General features: G+C 38.8%; 1 protein-coding gene across 3 annotated transcripts in view; it reads left to right on the forward strand.

Annotated features, from left to right (window-relative positions):
• VWC2L (von Willebrand factor C domain containing 2 like) overlaps positions 1-21,045 on the forward strand; it is a 167,923-nt gene that overhangs the window by 126,636 nt on the left and 20,242 nt on the right. The gene's annotated exons all lie outside the window — the stretch shown is intronic.

Genomic DNA, 21,045 nt, shown 5'->3' on the forward strand with positions numbered 1-21,045 from the left:
CATTATGCGTACCACATAATTATATAACATTGTAATCTGTCACAAAAATGTATGAATGAATGGAATAAATGAACAAATATATTCAGGCCTTTTTTATTTGTTCATACTTTCAAATTATTCTGCATGGATTTATTAGTGAACCCATTAAGCCAATCCATAAAACCAAACAAAGTGACCAAAAATAAGCAAATTGCTTCCAAAGGATAGTGGCCTTTTTTTTTTTTTTTTGGTGGGCTTGCCACGTGTAAGATTTTAAACCAGACACTAAGAAAATATGTATATCATCACACATGCTCATTCTCCCAAGCAGTTTTCTGCTTCTCCAGTCTCCTCTATGGGACATGTGTATTTGACATTTTTCATGAGAGTACTATAGGAGATGGGATGATTATGCTTGGAAATTGTGAGGAGTCATGGTAAACAATGTGACAAGCATGTATCCTAGTGTCGGCATGACTGTGACAGACAAAATAAGAGACTGAGAGACAGACTGAGCACTATTCATTGACAACCGCTAAATGGCTCTTCATGAACTGTTCATTCACTCACAGACCTGGAAGCTGCTATCACTCTACCAAATTACCACACTGAATAGACATGTACATAGACAGTCTCCTACACACTATAGGTGAGCACAGTTGGCTGCTTGTATGAGTAGAAAATCAGTGGGATGCTTGGCCTATGTTATGCAGGTCAAATGAATATTATCATGTTACAAATGTCTCTGATTCAATCCATTCAACAAAAATGTGTTGAGCAAGTAACTTCGTGGCTTCAAGTGCTGTGGGTAAAAAAATACCCTGGATAAAAATTTTCTAACTAAAGCAAATATTTTTTATTGGACAACTACTGCAACATAGACGCAAATAAGAATGCAAACAGATTCTCCAAGTTTATAGTATAATTTTTGTATATTAATTAGTATACATGTTTAGTATATATTATTTAGTACATTATAGTATATATAAAATATATAATTTAGTATAATAAACAGTATAATTTTGCTAAAGGAGAAGATGTTCTAATGGAATATTTTTTCTACCTTCTCCCAAGTTCATTCATAAAATATCTTACTATCTGCTACTGTTCACATTTTGATACCGTACTTTGTCAATTTTAAGTTACTTAAGAGCTAGAAGTGGTTAAGTGAGTGAATCTGGGGTCACTTCTTTCAGAAATCCACAGTTCTCAGTGTTGTTTGAGAGACGAATTAGCTGTCTAGCCTTTTTGCAAAACTCACATTAAAACCTCTATTGGGGAAAAACCCTCATAATTTCTAAAATGAGCACTTTTAAATTGCATCTATAGATCTTCCTTGCATGAATGGATATCTGGCTTCATATCTAGTGATACCTGCTGCAATGCTGCCTCATAAAATTAAGCAACTATATAATCAATTACATTTTTAAAAGGCAACGTGATGGTGCTCTCCTCGGATGCCACACTGCCTCTGATTTGTTTGGAGACTACTGCACTTGATTAAGAATGGGAACAGACACTTGACAACATTGCAAAGGGGATGTAAATCAACTCAGAGGAGCAACAACGCATAACCCAATTGGCATCAAGGGAAACGATTTATTCCCTAAAAATGTTCGATTCAATCACAGAAAAGTTTATAAAATTACTTTGATAACACTTTTCACGATTTCATTCCTTTTTCCAAAATTTGCCACAATCAAAATGCAAATGCAAAATAAATGCTGTCATTAGTTGACTGTCAGTATAGTTATCACTGCTAGCTAAAATCCTGTGTGTAGCTTGTATTAATTTGGAAAAAAATAAATGCAAATAAGAGACCTTTTAGGTCTGTTACTGTGTGACTAGTTATTCTGAACCACTAAACTGAGAAGCTAAAATTTCCGTACTTATCCAGAAACTTTGTTATTGAAAAACAACGTTAACCTGACCTTGTATAGTAGTTAATCCAAGCTGAGATTTTGATTTGTATTCTGTTTTCTGTTGATGTGCTGCTTCTTATTGATAGGCAATTTGTAATTAGATTGCATAAACTTTTAACAGCTAATATTTCAACAAAGACACGAACTTTCCTGGAACAGACTGTTTTATCTTCCTTTAAAATAAATTACAGCTCACAAGCATCACTGATACTGGAAAATACATTGTATTAAACAAATTAAAGCAGTTTAAATTTTACCACTAAAATAATTTTTTAAAGTAAAGAATAATTTTAATCTTGAATATATTTTTAATGCTGCATGGGGCTTGTTTGGGTGTGTTTTGTATTGGTAAAAATCACAGAAAACTTAAAAACATGAGACAAATTAGCTAAAGGAACAACATATAAAATTGATGAACCTACCATATCCTTCCCAAGAAAACCTAGTTGGAATTGATTATCACCCTGAAAGTGTTAATATTTGTTTGGTGAGAGGCCCATGTAAAATAGTGAATAATTTCTAATGGTTATTGAATAGAACTTACATCTGCTAAGTTCTCAGTCCCTGCATAAGCCCTTTGCACTGGAAAACTGAGTTTTAAATGAAATCCTCAGAAAGAAGATAATAGATTGCACCATTAAAAATATTTAACTTTTATCGAGTATTTTATGGAATCTTCATGTGCATTAATCTTTCTTAAACTTCAAAATAACCTATTAACAGAGCACCCCATTTTAAAATTGAGGACACTGAAGCTCAGAAGAGTTAGGCAACATAGGCAAGGTTCTGCAGATAGCAAATTCCGAAGCAAGAACTAGACCCTGGAAATATGATGCCCATGCCCTTCTGTGAGCCACTGTGCAATGCTGCTTGAAAACAAGACACTAGCTTTTCCATTAGATGTGGTTTCTCCTTGCATACAGCGGTTATATACCAAGGAGTTGATATCTTTAACTCTGGCCTATAACCAACATCTTCTGCACCAGGATGGAAGGCTTTTATTTCCAAAGTTCCATGTTATTCAATGCTAATGAACAGTGCATTCTTACTAAGATTTACATGAGAAGAATGCAGACCTCATCTGAATTAGAGGAATCCCAGAGAAATTAATTTGTTCTCTGAGAAATGTGTGGTAAATAGCAGACGGCTTTTCTATTAAAATGCCTAGCATCCGTAAACAATACATCAGAAAGCAAGACAAAAGGGACTTGGGACAGATTTCATGGTAATATATGCCCTTAAGAGTGTCAAAATGTTCTGTCTTTCATCAGTGACAGAGTCAGACCAAAGCTCTTCTTCAGGCAACACATGCAAAGCAGTCAATTAATCTCCATTTATTGCACTTTATTTTAGCCCTTTAATATCTCTAAGTTTAGCTTTTCTTCTTCCAGCCCAGGTGCACTTTTTTTCTTGAGACATGCTAGTTAATTGTTAATACTTGGAAAGGATAAGATCACAAAAGACTGGTTCTTCAGCTAATAATATGCAGGCTGTTTTGCTTATACCAACTCCAGAGATAACTTTGGCACAAAATGGTAGGATGCTGTAAGAGATGATTATCTGGGCTGGGATGAAGAGCATTATGTCCTCTATTCAGCTATCCCCAGTCAGGATCATTGGGCTTTTTATATAGTTTATTCTTCATCCCTTTTAATTGTCTCATTTTGTTTTTCATCTTGGTACCACCCAAATGGAAAAAAAAAAAGTCTGACTTCTTTATTATCTGAGTGACATTTAGCTGTTTCTACATCAGGCTGAAACACTAGACATATGTCCTTTTCTGCTAATCTGTGGACTCCTAATCCCATTGTCATTAGAGCTGCCTCATTGCTCCATGCAGTCTTGTGTCATTGATTAGCATGCTTCTGGGCATAGAATAGGAACTCAAACATTTGTCAAAGAAATGATTGAATGAACTTAAAATTTGTAATGGAAGCCTAGAAATAATTGTTTGGGTAGTGCATGGATGAAAATGGCAGCATGCAGTGTGATGAAGACTTGAGTTTGGGCTAGGGTAGTTTTCATTTTGCATTCTCGCTCTGCCACACGTTAGGTAGGACCTTGGGCAATCACTCAACCCCAACGAACCATGGTTTTCCCATCTCTAAAACTGGGACTAAGACAATTAGCATGTACGAGACTCAGCTCTGTGCCTGACAACTAGCACATACACAATCACAGAGCTTTTGTTTATTTCATAGTAATCAGATAATGCATTTACACTAGTAACCTGGAGATTTTAATCTGAGTCACTAAAACATATATTCTAGGTGAATTTTAGATAGCATTAGAGTTCTGGGGAAGAGTAAACACTGTTTACTGTTTTTTTTTTTCCCAGAGGTAAAAGTGTTGACTCTAATTCAGAATAATAAACAGCCACCAGAAGGGAAGTTCACCTGCTGAAGAGCTGCTGTTGTTTATTTTTGATCACGTGGATGAGGTCATTCATTATCGGACAGCATTGGCTCCCTGAGTGAATATAATGCTGATGACAGTCTGCCTGGCTGTAATGGCTTCCTCTTATTTTAGGTGGCTCTCACCACTAGATTATTAACACAGTTCCTTCGGCTTGTCCTTGTGTGCAGTGCAGTAAAATTTTGGGAAAACAAGCTATGCTCACTGGGGACTATTTGCATCTGATCATGTATACACAAACCCACCAAGCTCTCAGACAGCTTGGAAGATGACATAAACACCTCCAAAACCCACCAGGATCGCATTCCCTCTCAGGTGCCTGATACCAGCTGTTGTGCCTGTCTGGGGACTGAGATTGCCAACTGCCTGTCTTCCACGCTTGCAGCATCAGTGAGCAATCATTGCTGCTGACAAGACTTGGATGGTCCTAACACGGAGGTGGGAGCAAAGTTGAAGCAACTGAAAGCTTCTCCTGCTGCTGCCTGGCTCAGATCCACCCTGACATCATTCATAAATGTGCAGTTAATGCAAGATGCAGATGCTGGTGTTACAGCTGCCAAGGCCGACAGAATTCCTATTTTAGCTACTGTCCACCACGCAGTGACGGGGTGCCCTAGGCAAGTGAAAATTGCTGCAGGCAGCGGTCAAAACAAGCTCCCTGCATCTTATTATCCCACTAGTATGCCTCTCCTGTGCCCTTTCCAATCTTTCAACCTTCACACTCTCTCCGCCTTTCCTACTCCAGGGATAAATTTATCCCAGGGGTGGTTAAAGCTAATGGCTGTACAATTTTCATACACTTTCATCAAAGACATATTTATATAAACCTCCACATTACTGAAACTTGTGCACAGTTTAGAAATCATGAGCCAAATTAGGGTTCATTCATTCAAGCAAATATTTATTGCACACCTCCTCTGTATTAGATTGTCACTGTATCATACTAATGCCTTTTCCTTGCAACAACTATGAGAACAGTTTCTGATAGTTCTCATGAAAAAATCTTAATCCTGCTCATAGAATTACTCACACCTCAAGGAATGTAACATTCAGTTTACATATTTTCTCTGGCAGATACTCAGTGGCAATAGCAACCTAATGACAGCATCTCTTTTAGGTCAATATGAAAAGTTGACTTCTAAGTTTGAGTACTAACCTCCCATTCTGATACACCCTGCTTCCCCCCAGAATTCTTAAGTTGAATAGAAATGGTTTCATTAACACATGTTCAAACGTAACTTTCAACCTAGCCAAGATTTAATTCATTTTTGAGGCCTCTCAATTCTCCATAGAGTGTTTACCTTTAAATATATTTGGTTTAATCATATAAAACTTATTACGTATAGTAACATCAGTTTCACATGAATGAAATTCAACTGGATAGGAATTATAGGGAAAAGCTAATTCTATTTTGCAATTTGTTTTGAAAGTCAACCAAGATAATCTAATCAATATCGTCAAGTTTTTATCTTCACATTTCATAAACAGAGTTTTTTTGAAGATAGTTATCAAATATAATAGTCAATGAAAAGTATTGTTTTACCTAGAGCACATTCCAGAAGAACAAGCCATGTGGTATTTGCTCTGAGAAAACTTATAGATTAGTCATCCTCTAGCTGAATATGCTGACCAAAGAAAGGAAGAGAAAGAAAAAAAAAAAAGACTAAGAGAGGAAAATGAAGATGGCTGGCAAGGTCCCTCAGCTTAATTGAATAAACAATGGAATTCCAAACAGCATCCTATATGCCCTCTCAAAGCCAAACTGGTTTGGTTGATTCTAAAGTGCTAAGTGGCTCCTACAGGGCATATCACAGTTCTGGCTTTTGGCCAGATCTGCCAAATGGCTTCACTTTCATTTTGTCGCCAGGTAAGGGAAAACCTAAAGCCTTTATGATGTACCCAGAAGTATGTTTACTTGCCAATATCATGTCTATGAAGATCAGAAGGATCTATAGCGCTTTGCAAGTTACAGGAATGTTTTCTCTCTTACGATTGTACTTGGCTATTCTGCAACCCTATGGGGACAAAAACACAGAAATAGTATTGTTATCTCTGCCTAAAAGTGAGAAATTAAGACTCAGAAAGATCACACATCTGATAAGACACAGACTCAAAACTAGAATCCATGGCTTCTGATTCCAAGTTATTTGCTCTGTGTTTGTGAAAAGGGGAAAGGGAGTGACTCCAGGAATGGATTGCCGTGCCATATTCCTAGCATTCTGAATTCTCTGGGCATTTATCTGTACAGGTATAGATTAGAGAGCCCTGTTGTAATAGAGGTGTATCCTCAGAGCTGCTGATTCATTTGTTTAGCTAGAACCAAGTACTGTGAGAAGATGTGACTTGTAAAGCCTTCAAGAAAGTAGTAGCCGGCCACTGATAAGTAGCAAGTTGGAGCTGCTCACCCAAACTGGTCAACACAGCCTGTCTTCTATGACTTAGAAATTCCTTAGGCCTGGAGGTCTTTCAGGAACATACCCCGTACTCCTGACTGTCCTTCCCAGAACATTGTAGCCTAAGGACTGGTACGCTTGTTACTCCCTGATATAGGATGCCATCCTCATTATAGGATGGAGAGTCTCCAGCCAAAACTTGGTAACCAAACAAGTGATTGAATAATGGCGAATGGCACACAGGTTTTGAAATGAGCCTTGGGAAAGTCTCTTCCCCCCTCTGAGTTCCAATTTGTTTTCTATAATAGGGGACACTACTATGTTTATTGCAAATATGATGAGATGATTACAAAAGGTTAATGGAGTGATCTCTTCTATTATGCTATAGGGTATTCTACACCCTATACCAACCCTACGAGGTAGATGCTATTATTGTCCCATTTTGCAGATGAAGAAAACTACAGCATAGAGAAGTTAAGTAAGTTGGCAAAGTAACTTACTATGTAGCTAGTAAGTACAAAAACTAAGATTTGAATGAAAGGTCCCAAATTTACTCTGCTATGTTGTTTCCCAATTATCCTGATTTTTCACATATTCCATACCACTTAAACTACAAAGTCTTTTAGGTTACTTTGGAAAGCAGTGTCTAAAATCTCAATCTCCAGAAATTCATTGCTAAATGCATCCACTAGCAATTATAGGAAAACTACCATGAAAAGCAATATGATGCATATAAAACTTCGAAGGATTATAAAATAAAAGGGCAAAGTAGTAATATAGTCAAAGTGGATAAAAATATTTTGCAAATAGAGAAATATTTAAAATAGAAAAAAATCTACAAGGTACTTTAGGAGCACTGACATGTGTTATATCCGCGTGCACCCTCCATTTAAAAGCCACTGTTATTCATTGTTCATCTTTAAGTACTCTTTGCCAACACACTGAATATCAGCCCTAAACAAACTGCTCTAGAAAATATGGAATTACACATGGCTGTTGCTTTTTGGATTCATGACACAAATTTTTTTAACCAAATATGAGAGTAACACATGGTTTTTGTAAAGAGAATATTTTAAGCAAGACAGTCATTTTGTTCAAGTATCTGTGACAGTAATATTAAGTCCAAACAAAGTAAATGACATCTTATGTGATTCAAAATATTTCAAAATACAATATAATGTGATGTTTCTGAAGTTCCAGAGCTGCCAGAAATCTAAGGAAAAGCATTGCTATCTCTTCTGAAAAAAATTTATCTCTGTGGCCATTTTACAGAGTATTTGTCAATTTCAACCACATTGAAAATAGAGCTTCAAAAACTTTCTCAGTGGGACTTATTGGGGAAATCAAGAAATTTCATAGACATCCTTGGTGACTTTGTTCCAACAATCTGGCCACAGAGGCAACCATAATATCCCATGGGTCCTCACTATACATATACAATTTGAGAACGTGACGGATCTTTCTCACTCCCACACTGTAAAGGAAAAAATACTAGTTCAAATTTTACACACTACATCTAGCACATACATACTAGAATACTAGGGATGTTCACCATCCATAATTTATTCCATTTTTAAAAGGCATTTCTGTATCCAACCTCCTATCACCTCCGTCTCCAGCCCTGCATGCTAACTTTGGATTTGATTTGGTATCACATGCCAGAACATGAATATTAGCATGCTTGGGGTTGAGGGGGTGGAGGGAATTTGTATAAACAAGGGATGGGAGGAAACTCCTAGCTTAGCTCTAGGAAATTAACTGGCCCTAAAACAGTCTAGAGAGCTTCCTCACAGTATTGAATCTTTCATTTTCTCTTATGGTCAGGCCCATTTACTAAGCAGTGTGAAGGAATTGCTGCAGCTTTTGGCACATAGCTGACAAGATGCACAAAACTTCAGTTTGATTTCCATATGCTCATTGTGTTCATTTTCTTCCAGCCAAATGCTCCCTAGATCTTGTTTGCTGTCTCTTTTAGCTTCTCCTAGATTCTCCTGAATGCTAATGTTTTCCTTCCCTTCTCAGTAATGTTCTAGTGGGGGCATGCAAAAGTACTTCTTTATCCTAGAAATGGCCACAGTAGGAGTAATATTGCACTTCTATGCAGCAGTTGTCCTCATTGCCAGAGATTGTTAGTTTCATAAAAATGAAGTATAATGTTCACACACAAACCGGGCAAATTATTGTAAATAGCAGATTTTTAACAATGACAGAAAACACATGTATTGTTCAGGTACCGAGAAACCTTGTCATATGATTTCTATTATAATATTTGCATATTTTAAGTGAATGGCAGTCTTCCATCCCTGAACCTCTAGTTTTTATAGAAAATTGTTTTTAGCAAACACCAAGAACACTGAATGTTACAAGCCATACAAGTGACATGAGTGAAATGAAAGGAGTTTTCGCTGGTAGAGCTGGCATGTTAAAGTGATTCTATGCCAAACTCAAGTGTCACAGAGGAAACCCCAAAAAGGATGATACCCTAATTTTAATACTAAGGACAAAACCTACTTTCAGCAGTACTGTTGAAATAAATGCTACACTTACTGACTCCTTCTATGCCACGTACTGAGTGTCTTTGTGGTGTTCAAAGACCAGTGTGGAAATAGATGTGTTCACAAATGCCTGATTCTTTAGGGAGACAGAGAGCAAAGTACAAGGATGGCCCTAAAAAGAAGACGGTCAGCTCAAGCTAGCGGCATTTTTAAAATCAGGATCTGAAGGCCCCCTTGAATGCTAATATATATGCAGAAGTAAACTGGAAGATTGAGGAAATTTTAGGAAAACAAATAGAATACTTGGGGTTAGTTTACTTCTGCAAGGAAATTTTAGGAAAACAAATAGAATACTTGGGGTTCCATCCTCAAACTTTTGAGTTTACATCCTCCTGGAATCCTGGAATCAGCCCTAGAACTTAAGCAAGTATGATTAAGGGAGAACAGCCAGTGTAGAACTAAACATCTAGATCTAGATTCCTATAACCTGGAGCAGGAGGGAGAATGTTCGACATATAATTCAGTGCAAGGTAAAATTTACTAGGGCTGAAAGGGTAGAAGATATGTAAACACTTTCTACCATGTGGTCTGTTATTATTGACATCTGTGTTGTTGGTGTTTCTGTAGGTGCTCCTTCAAAATAGATGCAACAATTAATTTAATAATAAAGACTAGCATCAACATGAAAGCTACTGAGTAGATCAAGCGAGCAACACTTATTCAAGATCATTATAGAGCAAAACTCACTGAAATTATATCTAGCTTTCTCCCTCAGTGACAGGATTCAATAATTGAAGGGTTTTAGGTACTTGCAATGTAATAGACACATGAAGTGACAGATATTCCATGGGAATCAAATAAGGAAAAGCACATAAGTAACTGGGTTTTGGTGGAAAACAAACAGCCTTGCGATGACTTTATCAATTCTTAGCTTAGTGTGACTTTTCTCTCATACTAATAGTTGGAAAAAGATCATTTTGTCCTGAAGAAGCACAGTGAATAGTATGCCATAGGCACCAAGCAGAGCTTGTTGACTGAGTCCACAAATACATGAAGGTTTGCCTCTAACTGTATGCATTAGAGTTTTTATTTCTTCTTCCAGATGCTTTCATAATTTAGGTTTCACACTGAGTCATGCAAGCTAATGTGAATTCTGCCTTCTTCCGGTGTCTTCTCAATTTGGAGGCTAATGCCAGTATAATTCTCGGGTTGTCATTAAACCTCCAAAAATCATATGACTCATGGACACTTTCTTCTCTGAGGCTCTTTGCCAGTAGTACACTACCAAAGCAATTGCTAGTGTACTACTTGTTAGTTCTGAGCCATGTAGCTCAGCATCTCTCCTGTATTATGGGTGTTCCGTCACTGCTTGACAACACAAGGCATGCAATTTACAGGCTTAAAACATTTACACAATTTAAAAAAATTTTGTGCCAGTATTCTCTAGGATCTGCGTGGGCATTTAAAAAAAATGCATGTTGGCAGAGATGATGTACTTTTGATTTCTGAATATAAACAGTGCAAGCCAGGACTTACAATTCATAAATAAATGTCCATGTTTTCCCTGCATGATATAAATACTCTAAAACACTGCCTACAAATTGAAAGCTAAGCAGGGAACTCAACCAAGTCCAGTGGATTGAGGTACCATTCTGAGAGCATGGAAGCATCCTTGATGTTTTAGTATACATAAAGCAGCTAAAGGTAGACCACAAATGCTTTAGTCAAATCCAACCAAGTTGTTAACAGACAATTTGTCAAGGGGCTGCTGTGATAATAGCTTGCTTTTGGTGGCCAACTATTTTAACTCATGTTTAGGCTAGACCAAGCTCTTAGCCTTCCAGAGATTCTTTTTAAGAGCACTAATAGCAGCATTTGTAGTCAATACACAGTTTGAAGTTCCTTTAAAATTAATTGGGAAATTCCACTTTACATCTAGACTGATCCTTCCTGCTTCGGCATTATCTACATGTTGATTCAAGGGGTAGTTTTTACCTTCTTATTGCTTCTGTAACAACTTACCACAAACTTAATCACTTAAAAGAAAACACATTTATTTTTGTACAGTTCTGTGGATCAGAAGTCTGAAACCAAGCAGTTGGCAAGACTGCTGCATTTGTTCTGGAGGCTCCAAGAAATCTGTTTTCTTTCATTTTCTAGCTCCTAGAGACCACCTGCATTACTCGGCTCAAGACTGTTTTGTCTCATCCCTCCAGCTCCTTGCTTTCTTCCCCACACTTCCTCTGATCCACCTGCGCTCCTCTTATTAGACCCTTGTAATTACAATGGACCCATCTAGATAATTTATGCTAATTTCTCCATCTCAAAATTCTTCACTCAATTGTGTCAGCACACTCGCTTTTACCATGTAAGGTGACATATTTACAGGTTGTGGGGATTAGGATGTGGGCATCCTTAGGAGGCCATTTTTCAGCCTACCACAGGTATGTATACCAAAGGGGACACAAATATAGCAACTTCACCAATTTAGGACATTATTTCCCTCTCTAAAGCACCAGAGAATCACAGATGAAAAGAAGCAATCAGGACAACATTAAGTTATGCTACTGCAAACAGACCATATTAAAAAGTTGGCTTAGGCCAGGCGCAGTGGCTCACGACTGTAATCCCAGCACTTTGGGACGTCAAGACAGGCGGATCACAAGGTCGGCAGTTCTAGACCAGCCTGGCCAACATGGTGAAACCATGTCTCTACTGAAAGTATAAAAATTAGCCGGGCGTGGTGGTGTACATCTGTAATCCCAGCTACTCAGAAGGCTGAGGCAGGAGAATCATTTGAACCCGGGAGGCAGAGGTTGCAGTGAGCCGAGATCGTGCCACTGCACTCCAGCCTGGCAACAGAGCGAGACTCCGTCTCAAAACAAAAACAAATACAAAAAACAAAAAAGTTGGCCTAGGCATATATTTATGTTATCAAAGACTGAGATCTGGGTAGAATTATAAGATACTGTTCTTGGATCAGCTTTCTTGTTCCTAAACATAACAGCCTTGATGCCCTTTCATTGCCTTATCTAGGTGCCTCTGCTAAGGCTCAGAGATAAACACTGAGCTGGATCAAAGATTTTACCTTCCAGCATCTTTCAGGATCACTCTGCAAACTTACTGGTACAAAGAGACAAACCCAGATATGCAAATATTTTTAAAGTGGCTAATGCAGTGTTTAGAATCAAGTTGGCTTGAAACCCGCATGTGAAATGCAAGTGCTGCACAAATTCCCTTTATTGCTCAAATGCTCCAGAAAGAACAATCCCTAGGGCTGTGCTGTGCCATTTGGAATGAAAATGAACATCATATGAAAACTTGGGTATATTCTAAAGGTCAGTGGAATTTCAACCACATGTTTTGCTTCCATACAACAGACTCGGCCATAGGAGTGGTTAATAAGTTCCATTTGGGAAAAGAAATATAAACATTCTTAATAATATGTTTCCATTTCAACCTTGGCTCTTTCTTAAACTTCAAAACAGTCTCAATATTCATTTATTATTTATTCATTCTTTTATTTCTAATGTATCCAACACTTATTACCAAAAATCAAATATTTTTAAATGTCTAAAATTGAACTCATCACTCCCCACCTGCCACATATCATCTCTTTCTGCTTCCTCTTCCTTGAACCTGTTTTGTTTTCTCCGTCTCAGGGAGTGACATTACCCATCACCCCATTCAGAAACTAGGAATGAGCTAGAAGTGTCTTCCCCTGCCTCATTTTCTATATCCAATGTCATTAAATCCTACAATGTACTAAACGAAGATTTTTTCCTGTTTATATATAAATATATGCCTTATTTCAGACTCTTGTCTCTTGCCTGGACAATCACAATAGCTTTGTAACTCACATTCTGGTTTTTGATCCTGCTCATTTTGTTCAGTCCTTTACATTCTGAACAGAGCGCACGTTCAGAAATGTTAGTGTCATGTCACTTTCCTACCTCAAACTTTTCAGTGGCTCCCCATTTCTTAGAGGTTAACATTTAAACAACTAATTTTGCTACAAAAGGCCTTTTGTAATCTTCACCAGCCCTCTCTTCAGCACTCCATCTTTCTGGGCCTCTAGTTCCATTTATGAACCCTATGACTCAGCTACACAACTTCCTCTTTGCCCAGCACTGCAACAAAAATTAGCAGAACAGCTCCTTCTATTCAAGATGTTACAGTCTCTTGGAAGGAATAAAACTGTTGAACTATGTTTTAAAAGAAAAAGATAGTTAAATGATATCATAAGGGAAGAACTAAGTGCTTTGAGGTTCGAAGGTCAGAGAAAGTATTTTTCAGGGGAGAATCAGTGTAGCATTCATAACATGCTGCAAGTATAAATTCTGTAAATAGGAAGAAAATATAAAGGACATTCAAGATAGGAAAGAATATCGTTCTGATCTTTTAAAGGTCTCAGTCAAATTTTACAAATCTTCTTATTCGTATTTTAAGCACCTTGAGCTGTAATAAATTTAGTACCACAGACACTATGCTGGTGGGCAGTTTCAGTGCCTGGAGCAGTCTCAGATTTTATAATCAGTGACTAGGGGAAGGAAGAAAATAGTGAATGCTTTAGACAAATTATTTGCAAAGCATACAAACAAAAAATTACTCAGAGAGAAATAATCGCTCTTTTTGGACAAGCATCCACTGTTGCTGGCAGTGTAATATTTCTCATTTCTGTTAATGACTATGATTGACTCCCATTTCATTCCAATCTATCAGCTCTTAGTGATTTTTATTGACTTCTCTTTCCAACTTAAAACCTGCAGTTCATTAATCCACCCTCTTTCTTGATGATTCCCACTTGCCTAGCAAAATCCCAAACCCGCATCAATCTAAATGTCTGCCTCCTCCAATACCAGCCTTTGGCTGTTGAGAGGCACCCACACAAATATTCCTCTTCATACCACAATAGAAGCCAGGGTATTTCTCCCAGCCAAGCTGTCAGTGATACCCATGCAGACCTCAAGAGCTGACTCTAACTGCATGCACTCACCCCCAGCAGACGATGTCTTTCCTTCACAGTAAAATGAAATAGCATCATTTTAACTCCTTCATTGCCAACATCAAGAAACTTACCTGTCCCCATCCTTATCTTTGTATTGCAAAAGAATTTTTCTTCCTTTTGAAAAACATATTGTGGTTTAGTGTTTAAGGCCTGATGTTGCTCATTTCTAACAAGCTCTCTTGGAAGGCTACTGCTGCTGGTCCGGAGATCAGCTTCGCTGTGATTCACAGTTCCTGGAACTCATTTTCTACATGAACACTCAGAACTTCTTTTCCTAACCTGCAACCTTTCCTCACTACTGGCTTTTTCCTTTCAGCATATTGATAAACACATGGCCCTGATCTTTAAAGAAAGAAAAATAGGCCTTAGAAGTTGACTGAATGAATAAATACCAAACCAGTAAGTCCTACCTCTGGTTACTTAGCCCTGCATCTCACCTTCTCTTCAAACTGAGCCTTCCTGACTGTGTAATCAACATGCTTTTTTTTTCCCCACATCTCACTTTCAAAACAATAGAGGTCCAATTTTATCCCCACAATGACATAGGAATTGCTCTCACAATGCCATTCAGGACCTGCTGGATGATAAACTCAATGGATGCTTCCCAACCTTGGTCTATTCAACATTCTAGTAGTATTGGACACCTTATTAAAACCTTACAAGCTTCTTCTTCTCTGACTTGTGTTATATCATCCTACTCCTATTTCTGTAATCATTAATTCACAGCTCCCTTCCCAGGGTTCTATTTCTCTACTCACGACTTAAATGTTAGTTCCTTGGGATTCCTTCCTTAGTCATCTTCCTATTATATATTCTCTCTCTTCATAGGAATCCACTTTCATGAATTCAATCACTATATTTCTCTTGAAGACTTCTAAAATGATGCCTCAAGAGCAAATATTTCCCTTGAGATCTCAACCCTCATATTCGACTGCTTAATTTAAGCTTTCCACTTGTAAGCCAAAGACATTTAAAATGCACTATCTCTATAACTAAACTCTAGACTTTTCTCCTAAGCTTTCCTCTTTTATATTTCTCTTCTCAAAAGATATCACCTGCTATTGAGCACATAAGCAAGAAACATGGGCACCATCTTATTTCCTTCCTCTTCCATACCTCTTGTGTATCCACATTCTATCAACTCTACTCCTTTCAGTGTCTCCCCAGCCCATCCCCTCTTCTCCATTCTTACTGCCACTAGTTCAACGTGGTCCTTCCCCATCCCTTTCCAAAAGCAGTTGCTGCTCTTGCTCCCTCTAGTCTGGGTGCCTTCTATCCCCACCCCACAGAGCAACAGAAGTGATCTGGCTAATGCCATTGTTGACAGTAACAGTCGAACTCTGTAAGATATTTGAAGAGATTTATTCTGAGCCAAATATGAGTGACTGATGGCCTATGACACAGCCCCAGGGGATCATGTGCCCAAAGTGATCAGGCTACAGCTCGATTTTATATATTTTAGAGATACATAAGACGTTAATCAACACATGTAAGATGTACATGGGTTTGGTCCAGAAAGGTGGGACAACTGGAAGTGGGGGCTTCCCGGTCATAGGCAGATTCAAAGATTTTCTGATTGGCAGTTGGTTGAAAGAGTTCTTATCTAAAGACCTGGAGTGTCTGGGTTAAGATAAGGGGTTATGGAGACCAAGGTTTTATCATACAGGTGAAGCCTCCAGGTAGCAGGCTTCAGAGAGAATAGATTGTAAATGTTTTTTGTTTTATTTTGATCAGACTTAAAGAACATGTTTTATTCAGTCTTAATGTCTCTATATTGATGTTAATGCTGGTCAGCTGTGCCTGGATTCCAAAAGGTAGGAGAGTAAAATGAGGCATGTCTAGACTCCCCACTTCCCATCACAGCCTGAACTAGTTTTTCAGGTTAACTTTGGAATGCCCTTGGCCAAGGGGAAGGTCCATCAGTTGGCTGAGAGGCTTAGAATTTCATTTTTGGTTTACAGCACAAACATGATACAAAAAATCTGCAGCATCTCTCCAGTGCTTAAAGGTCTGTAGAACCTGGCCACAGCCTCTCCTTTTCCTCCAGCCTCAATTCCCAAGACTCCTGCTGGCACCCTAAGATCCCAGGTACATAGAATTGCTCACATTTATCCCTCCAATAGACCACAAGCCCATCTTTGCCCAGGCCACTAACTCATCTTGGACTCTTTCTGCACTCACCACTACCATCCTGAGTCTTTACCAAAATAGTTCCTTTTCACCCCACAAGTCTCCACTCAGTCTTTATATCCTCTAGGAAGCCTACCTCTTCCTCAGTTCAGTTAAGTCCCCTGTACATTCTTCTGTAACACCCTATTTCTAACTTTGTATTTGCCTCACTGTTTGCTACAGTGTACGGTGTCAACCAAAAATAAAATTCTAAGCCCCTCAATTGACTGAATGAACCCCCTTCTCAGCCAAGAATATTCCAAAGTAAGCCTGAAAAACTAGTTCAGGCCGTGATGAGAAAGACAGGTGTTTTGGGGGGCCAGACATGCCTTGCCTGTAATCCCAGCACTTTGGGGGCCGAGGCGGGTGGATCACCTGAAGTCAGGAGTTCAAGACCGGCCTGAATAACATGGAGAAACCCCATCTCCACTAAAAATACAAAATTAGCCGGGTGTGGTGGTGCATGCCTGTAATCCCAGCTACTCAGGAGGCTGAGGCAGGAGAATCGCTTGAACCCAGGAGGCAGAGTTTGCAGTGAGCCAAGATCACGCCATTGCACTATAGCCTGGGCAACAAGAGCAAAACTCCATCTCAAAACAAAACAAACAAACAAAACAAAGCAAAACAAATTCAGGCAAAAGTGACAAGCACTCACATTAAAAGAGAAATCTTAAGACTGACAAAACAGACTCTTTGTAGCAATAAGATACCAAATTCCAACCTTACTCTAGAATAGTATGACATGACAGACAGCAGGCCCTGAAAGAAACTGTATTTTACCTTAAAATATATTTCTTTGACATACTTCGAAATGGCCCTGCAAAATTGCCTCTTGTGGGGAAAATCTACATTCTCTGAAGAATCCTCCTTCCCTTTCCTGGCCTTTTCCTGATCCAGGAAAGGTTTAACTAAGTTTGACACATTTAACTAAGTTTGGCACATGTCTGATAAAAGACATTTACCATCTATTTTCTGAAGCCTAGAAGTTTTAGCTACATAACAAGAACCTTGGCTTCCACAAGCCCCGCCCCCATCTTAACTACAAACATTTCTTTCTGCTGATTTTAACTATTCAGGAAGAGTGTAACCCTTTCTACCAATTGCCATCAGAAAATCTTTGAATCCACCTATGACCTGGAAGACCCTTCTCTGACTTCAAGTTGTCCCGCCCTTACAGCCTAACAAATGTACACCTTCTGTGTATTTGATGTCTGCTTGTAACTTCTACGTCTAATATGTATAAAATCCAGCTGTAATCCAACCACCTTGGGCATATGTTATCAGGACCTGTTGAGACTGTGCCTTCGGCCTTGGTCACTCACATTTGGCTCAGAATAAATTCCTTCAAATATTTTAGAGTTTGATTCTTTTTCATCAATAAAGGCCATTGAGAGCTGGAAATACATCTTATTATCACTTTATTTCCAGTATTTTGCTATCTCTGGCACATATGAAACCATTAATACATGTTTTTGAATAAATGAATAATTAACTATTCTTAATAGTTTAAAACTGGCAATTTCTGGGAAGAGAACAGGTTTGGGGATATCTTTGAGCTAAGAGTGGCAGCATTTCTCCTGATCGCTGTTGTCTCTACCATCCCCACTTCTAAATGTTTCCTCTAAATTCAGGTAAAACTCATTTTCACAAGCAAGAATAAAAACTAAGATTTCTAAACTCCCTGGAGGCCATCCCCTAGTCTAATAATTGTACTTTATTTATTTGCTCATTAGTGTATGAAGCTGTTTTCCTATTTTCAGAAAGCTCTATGGGCTCTTCAGTAATATTCTCATCATATAAAATCTCAATCATTCTCCTACTTGGAAATAAATGTTGTTGTCTAAAGCCCATTTATGTTTATGATGAAAGGCAAAGGTCCCAATCTATGATCTCAATGACTATACAAAAATGTATTCTCTGAGACAAAATAGCACCTCCAAGTGTGTTCACCAGCACACTCAGATGAGCACATCAAGTCTCGGCAGATCACCAATGCAGAGAGTTCCTCCCGTCTCTACTAAAAATAAAAATAAATATAAATTAGCTGGGCATGATGGCATGAGCCTGTAATCCCAGCTACTCAGGGGGCTGAGGCAGGAGAATCACTTGAACTTGGGACACGGAGGTTGCAATGAACCGAGACTGTGCCACTGCCCTCCAGCCTGGGTGACAGAGCAAGACTCCATCTCAAAAAATAAATAAAATTTAGTTTTGGAGGTTTATTCTGCAGCAATTTAAACTTAGGCCAAACTGATTGTTTTTCTGGCTTAAATTGCATTATGGACTTCAAGGAGAAAAACACAAACAGTTGGCAAATTTACAGCCTTAAAACAAAATTGTCTTAACTTGAGGGATTCCCTTAATATTGCTTCTTATAATTTCTCTTTTTAAGAACTTTCCTATTTCATGAGAATCTAGAAACATGAAGGGTCACACACAGGAACTACTTCAAGCTAGAGTTACCCCCACCCGAAAAAATACCCTACAACAATATAATATCTTTTGATGTAAATTCCTTATGAGTTGGGTGCCACAGCCAGAGTAGGAGTTAGGTAACAGAGCTCGGTAATGTTATTCATTTTTTATGCACACGCTAATTCTGTTAGCAAATCTAGCATACTACAATCTGAGGCGAGGAATCCATACCAGGAGGACTTCCAGTAAATACAAAATAATCCAGTGATTTCTAAAATCAACCTCCTCACTTCCTTATTCCTCCAGTTTAACTCCTTAGTCTATCATTTCAACCACTCTCTTGTTAATATCTTCCACTCCTTTGCTCCTAGCATCCCAAATGCCTGCCAAAACCTCAAGCCTAAATTATAGCTAACACTTGTACAGGGCACACTTCGTGCTGACTATCCTCAGCACATGGTGTGCATTGACTCTTTAGTAATTACAGCAACCCTACAGGGGCAGGGAGTCTTCTTACTGTTCCCTGTTCACAGATAAGGAAACAGTGCGGGGTTGGGGAGAGAGTGGGAGTAAGTGACATGCCTGAGGTCACACTGCTATTAAATAATGACTATTTGCCTCAGATGCTGTATTAGTTCGTTTACATGCTGCTGATAAAGACATACCCGAGACTGGGTAATTTATAAAGAAAAAGAGGTTTGATGGACTCACAGTTCCACATGGCTGGGGAGACCTCACAATCACGGCAGAAGGCAACTCTTCACAGGGTGGCAGGGGAGAGAATGAAAACCAAGCTAAACGGGTTTCCCCTTATAAAAGCCATCAAATCTCGTGAGACGTATTCACTACCATGATAACAGTTTGCGGGAAACCACCCCCATGATTAAATTATCTCCCACCAGTTCCCTACCACAACACATGTGAATCATGGGAGCTACAATTCAAGATGAGATTTGGGTAGGGACACAGCCAAACCATATCAGATGCTCTTCCACAATATTGCTGAGCTCTGATGGGAAAGACCACACAAGCCACCAAATTGATACCACTACAAATTATAGTAGTCTTCCTCTTGGGACTGTCAACCCTACTCAAACAAATATATTAGGCGTCCCCAGTCAGCTAGACTTTTTATTCTCCCCAGTGACTGTCTCAACCATTTCCTTTTTTCATCTTTTCTTCACCCTTAGCAGATTAGGGCCCCTCCTACTGCTCAGAGAAAATAGAAATTATCAGACAGAAATTATTTCAGCTCCTAGTGCCTATTACTATAGAAGAGGGCCCTCACGTCCCATCTAACAACACAGAATTTCGTGCCTTTCTGCTGTCTCAGGTACTCTAGTCTCCCTAGCCATTCTCTTTTACATTCAACCTCTCTCTCCCACCAGATTATTTCTCACCAGCATTTAAAGATATTTCTCTCTCATTTTAACTATCCTCCCTCTGCACTGTCTCTTACAGCTACTGAACTCTTTTTATTTCTGCAGCTTTTACTTCCCATCCATTCATCAGTCTTCCCCAGCCTGGCCTTTGCCTTCACCACTCCGCAGACATTGTACTTGTCAAGCAAGGTCACCAAGGAGCTTGTCTCTGCCTTATCTCCACGCCCATCTCAGCTGCACTTGACACTGCTGTCACAGTCCTGCCAGAAACCTTTACTTTCCTTTGCTTCTCTGCTATCATGTATTGCTATTTTTTTCCTTCCTTTTTGAAATCTTTTTTGTCTTCTTAGGTGGCTCCATCTCATCTGTCTTCCCTTAAATGACAATGTCGTCCTAGGCCCTCTTTCTTCTTGCAGGACATCAAATGCTCATTCACTCCCCTGAATTCAATTACCATTCATTTTCCAGGGGTTCCACCTCTCTATGCCCAACTCAGTCAATTCTATTCCCCTATTCATCTCTGCTTAGATGATTCATGTGTATATCAATTCAAACTTTCTAACATTGACCTCATTCTCTTTTCTCCAAATCCTGCCCCTTCTCCAGCATTCCATACACTTGTTCAAATTAGAAACTTAAGGAGCATGTTCTACCTTATTCCACACATTCAGTCTACCACCAACATGAATCATGCTGACTCTATTGCCTAAATATTGCTCACACCCATTCACTTCTCTCCCTTCTTCATGGCCACCACCCACAATTATCTTTGCCTGGACTAGTGTAAAAATTGATTCAATTATTCTACTTCTAGCAACACAGCCCCTGCCTCTGCAACAACTCATTATCCACATTAAAACCAGCGTC

This window comes from Homo sapiens, chromosome 2 (genome assembly GCF_000001405.40).
Source record: "Homo sapiens chromosome 2, GRCh38.p14 Primary Assembly".
Taxonomy (NCBI): Eukaryota; Metazoa; Chordata; class Mammalia; order Primates; family Hominidae; genus Homo; species Homo sapiens.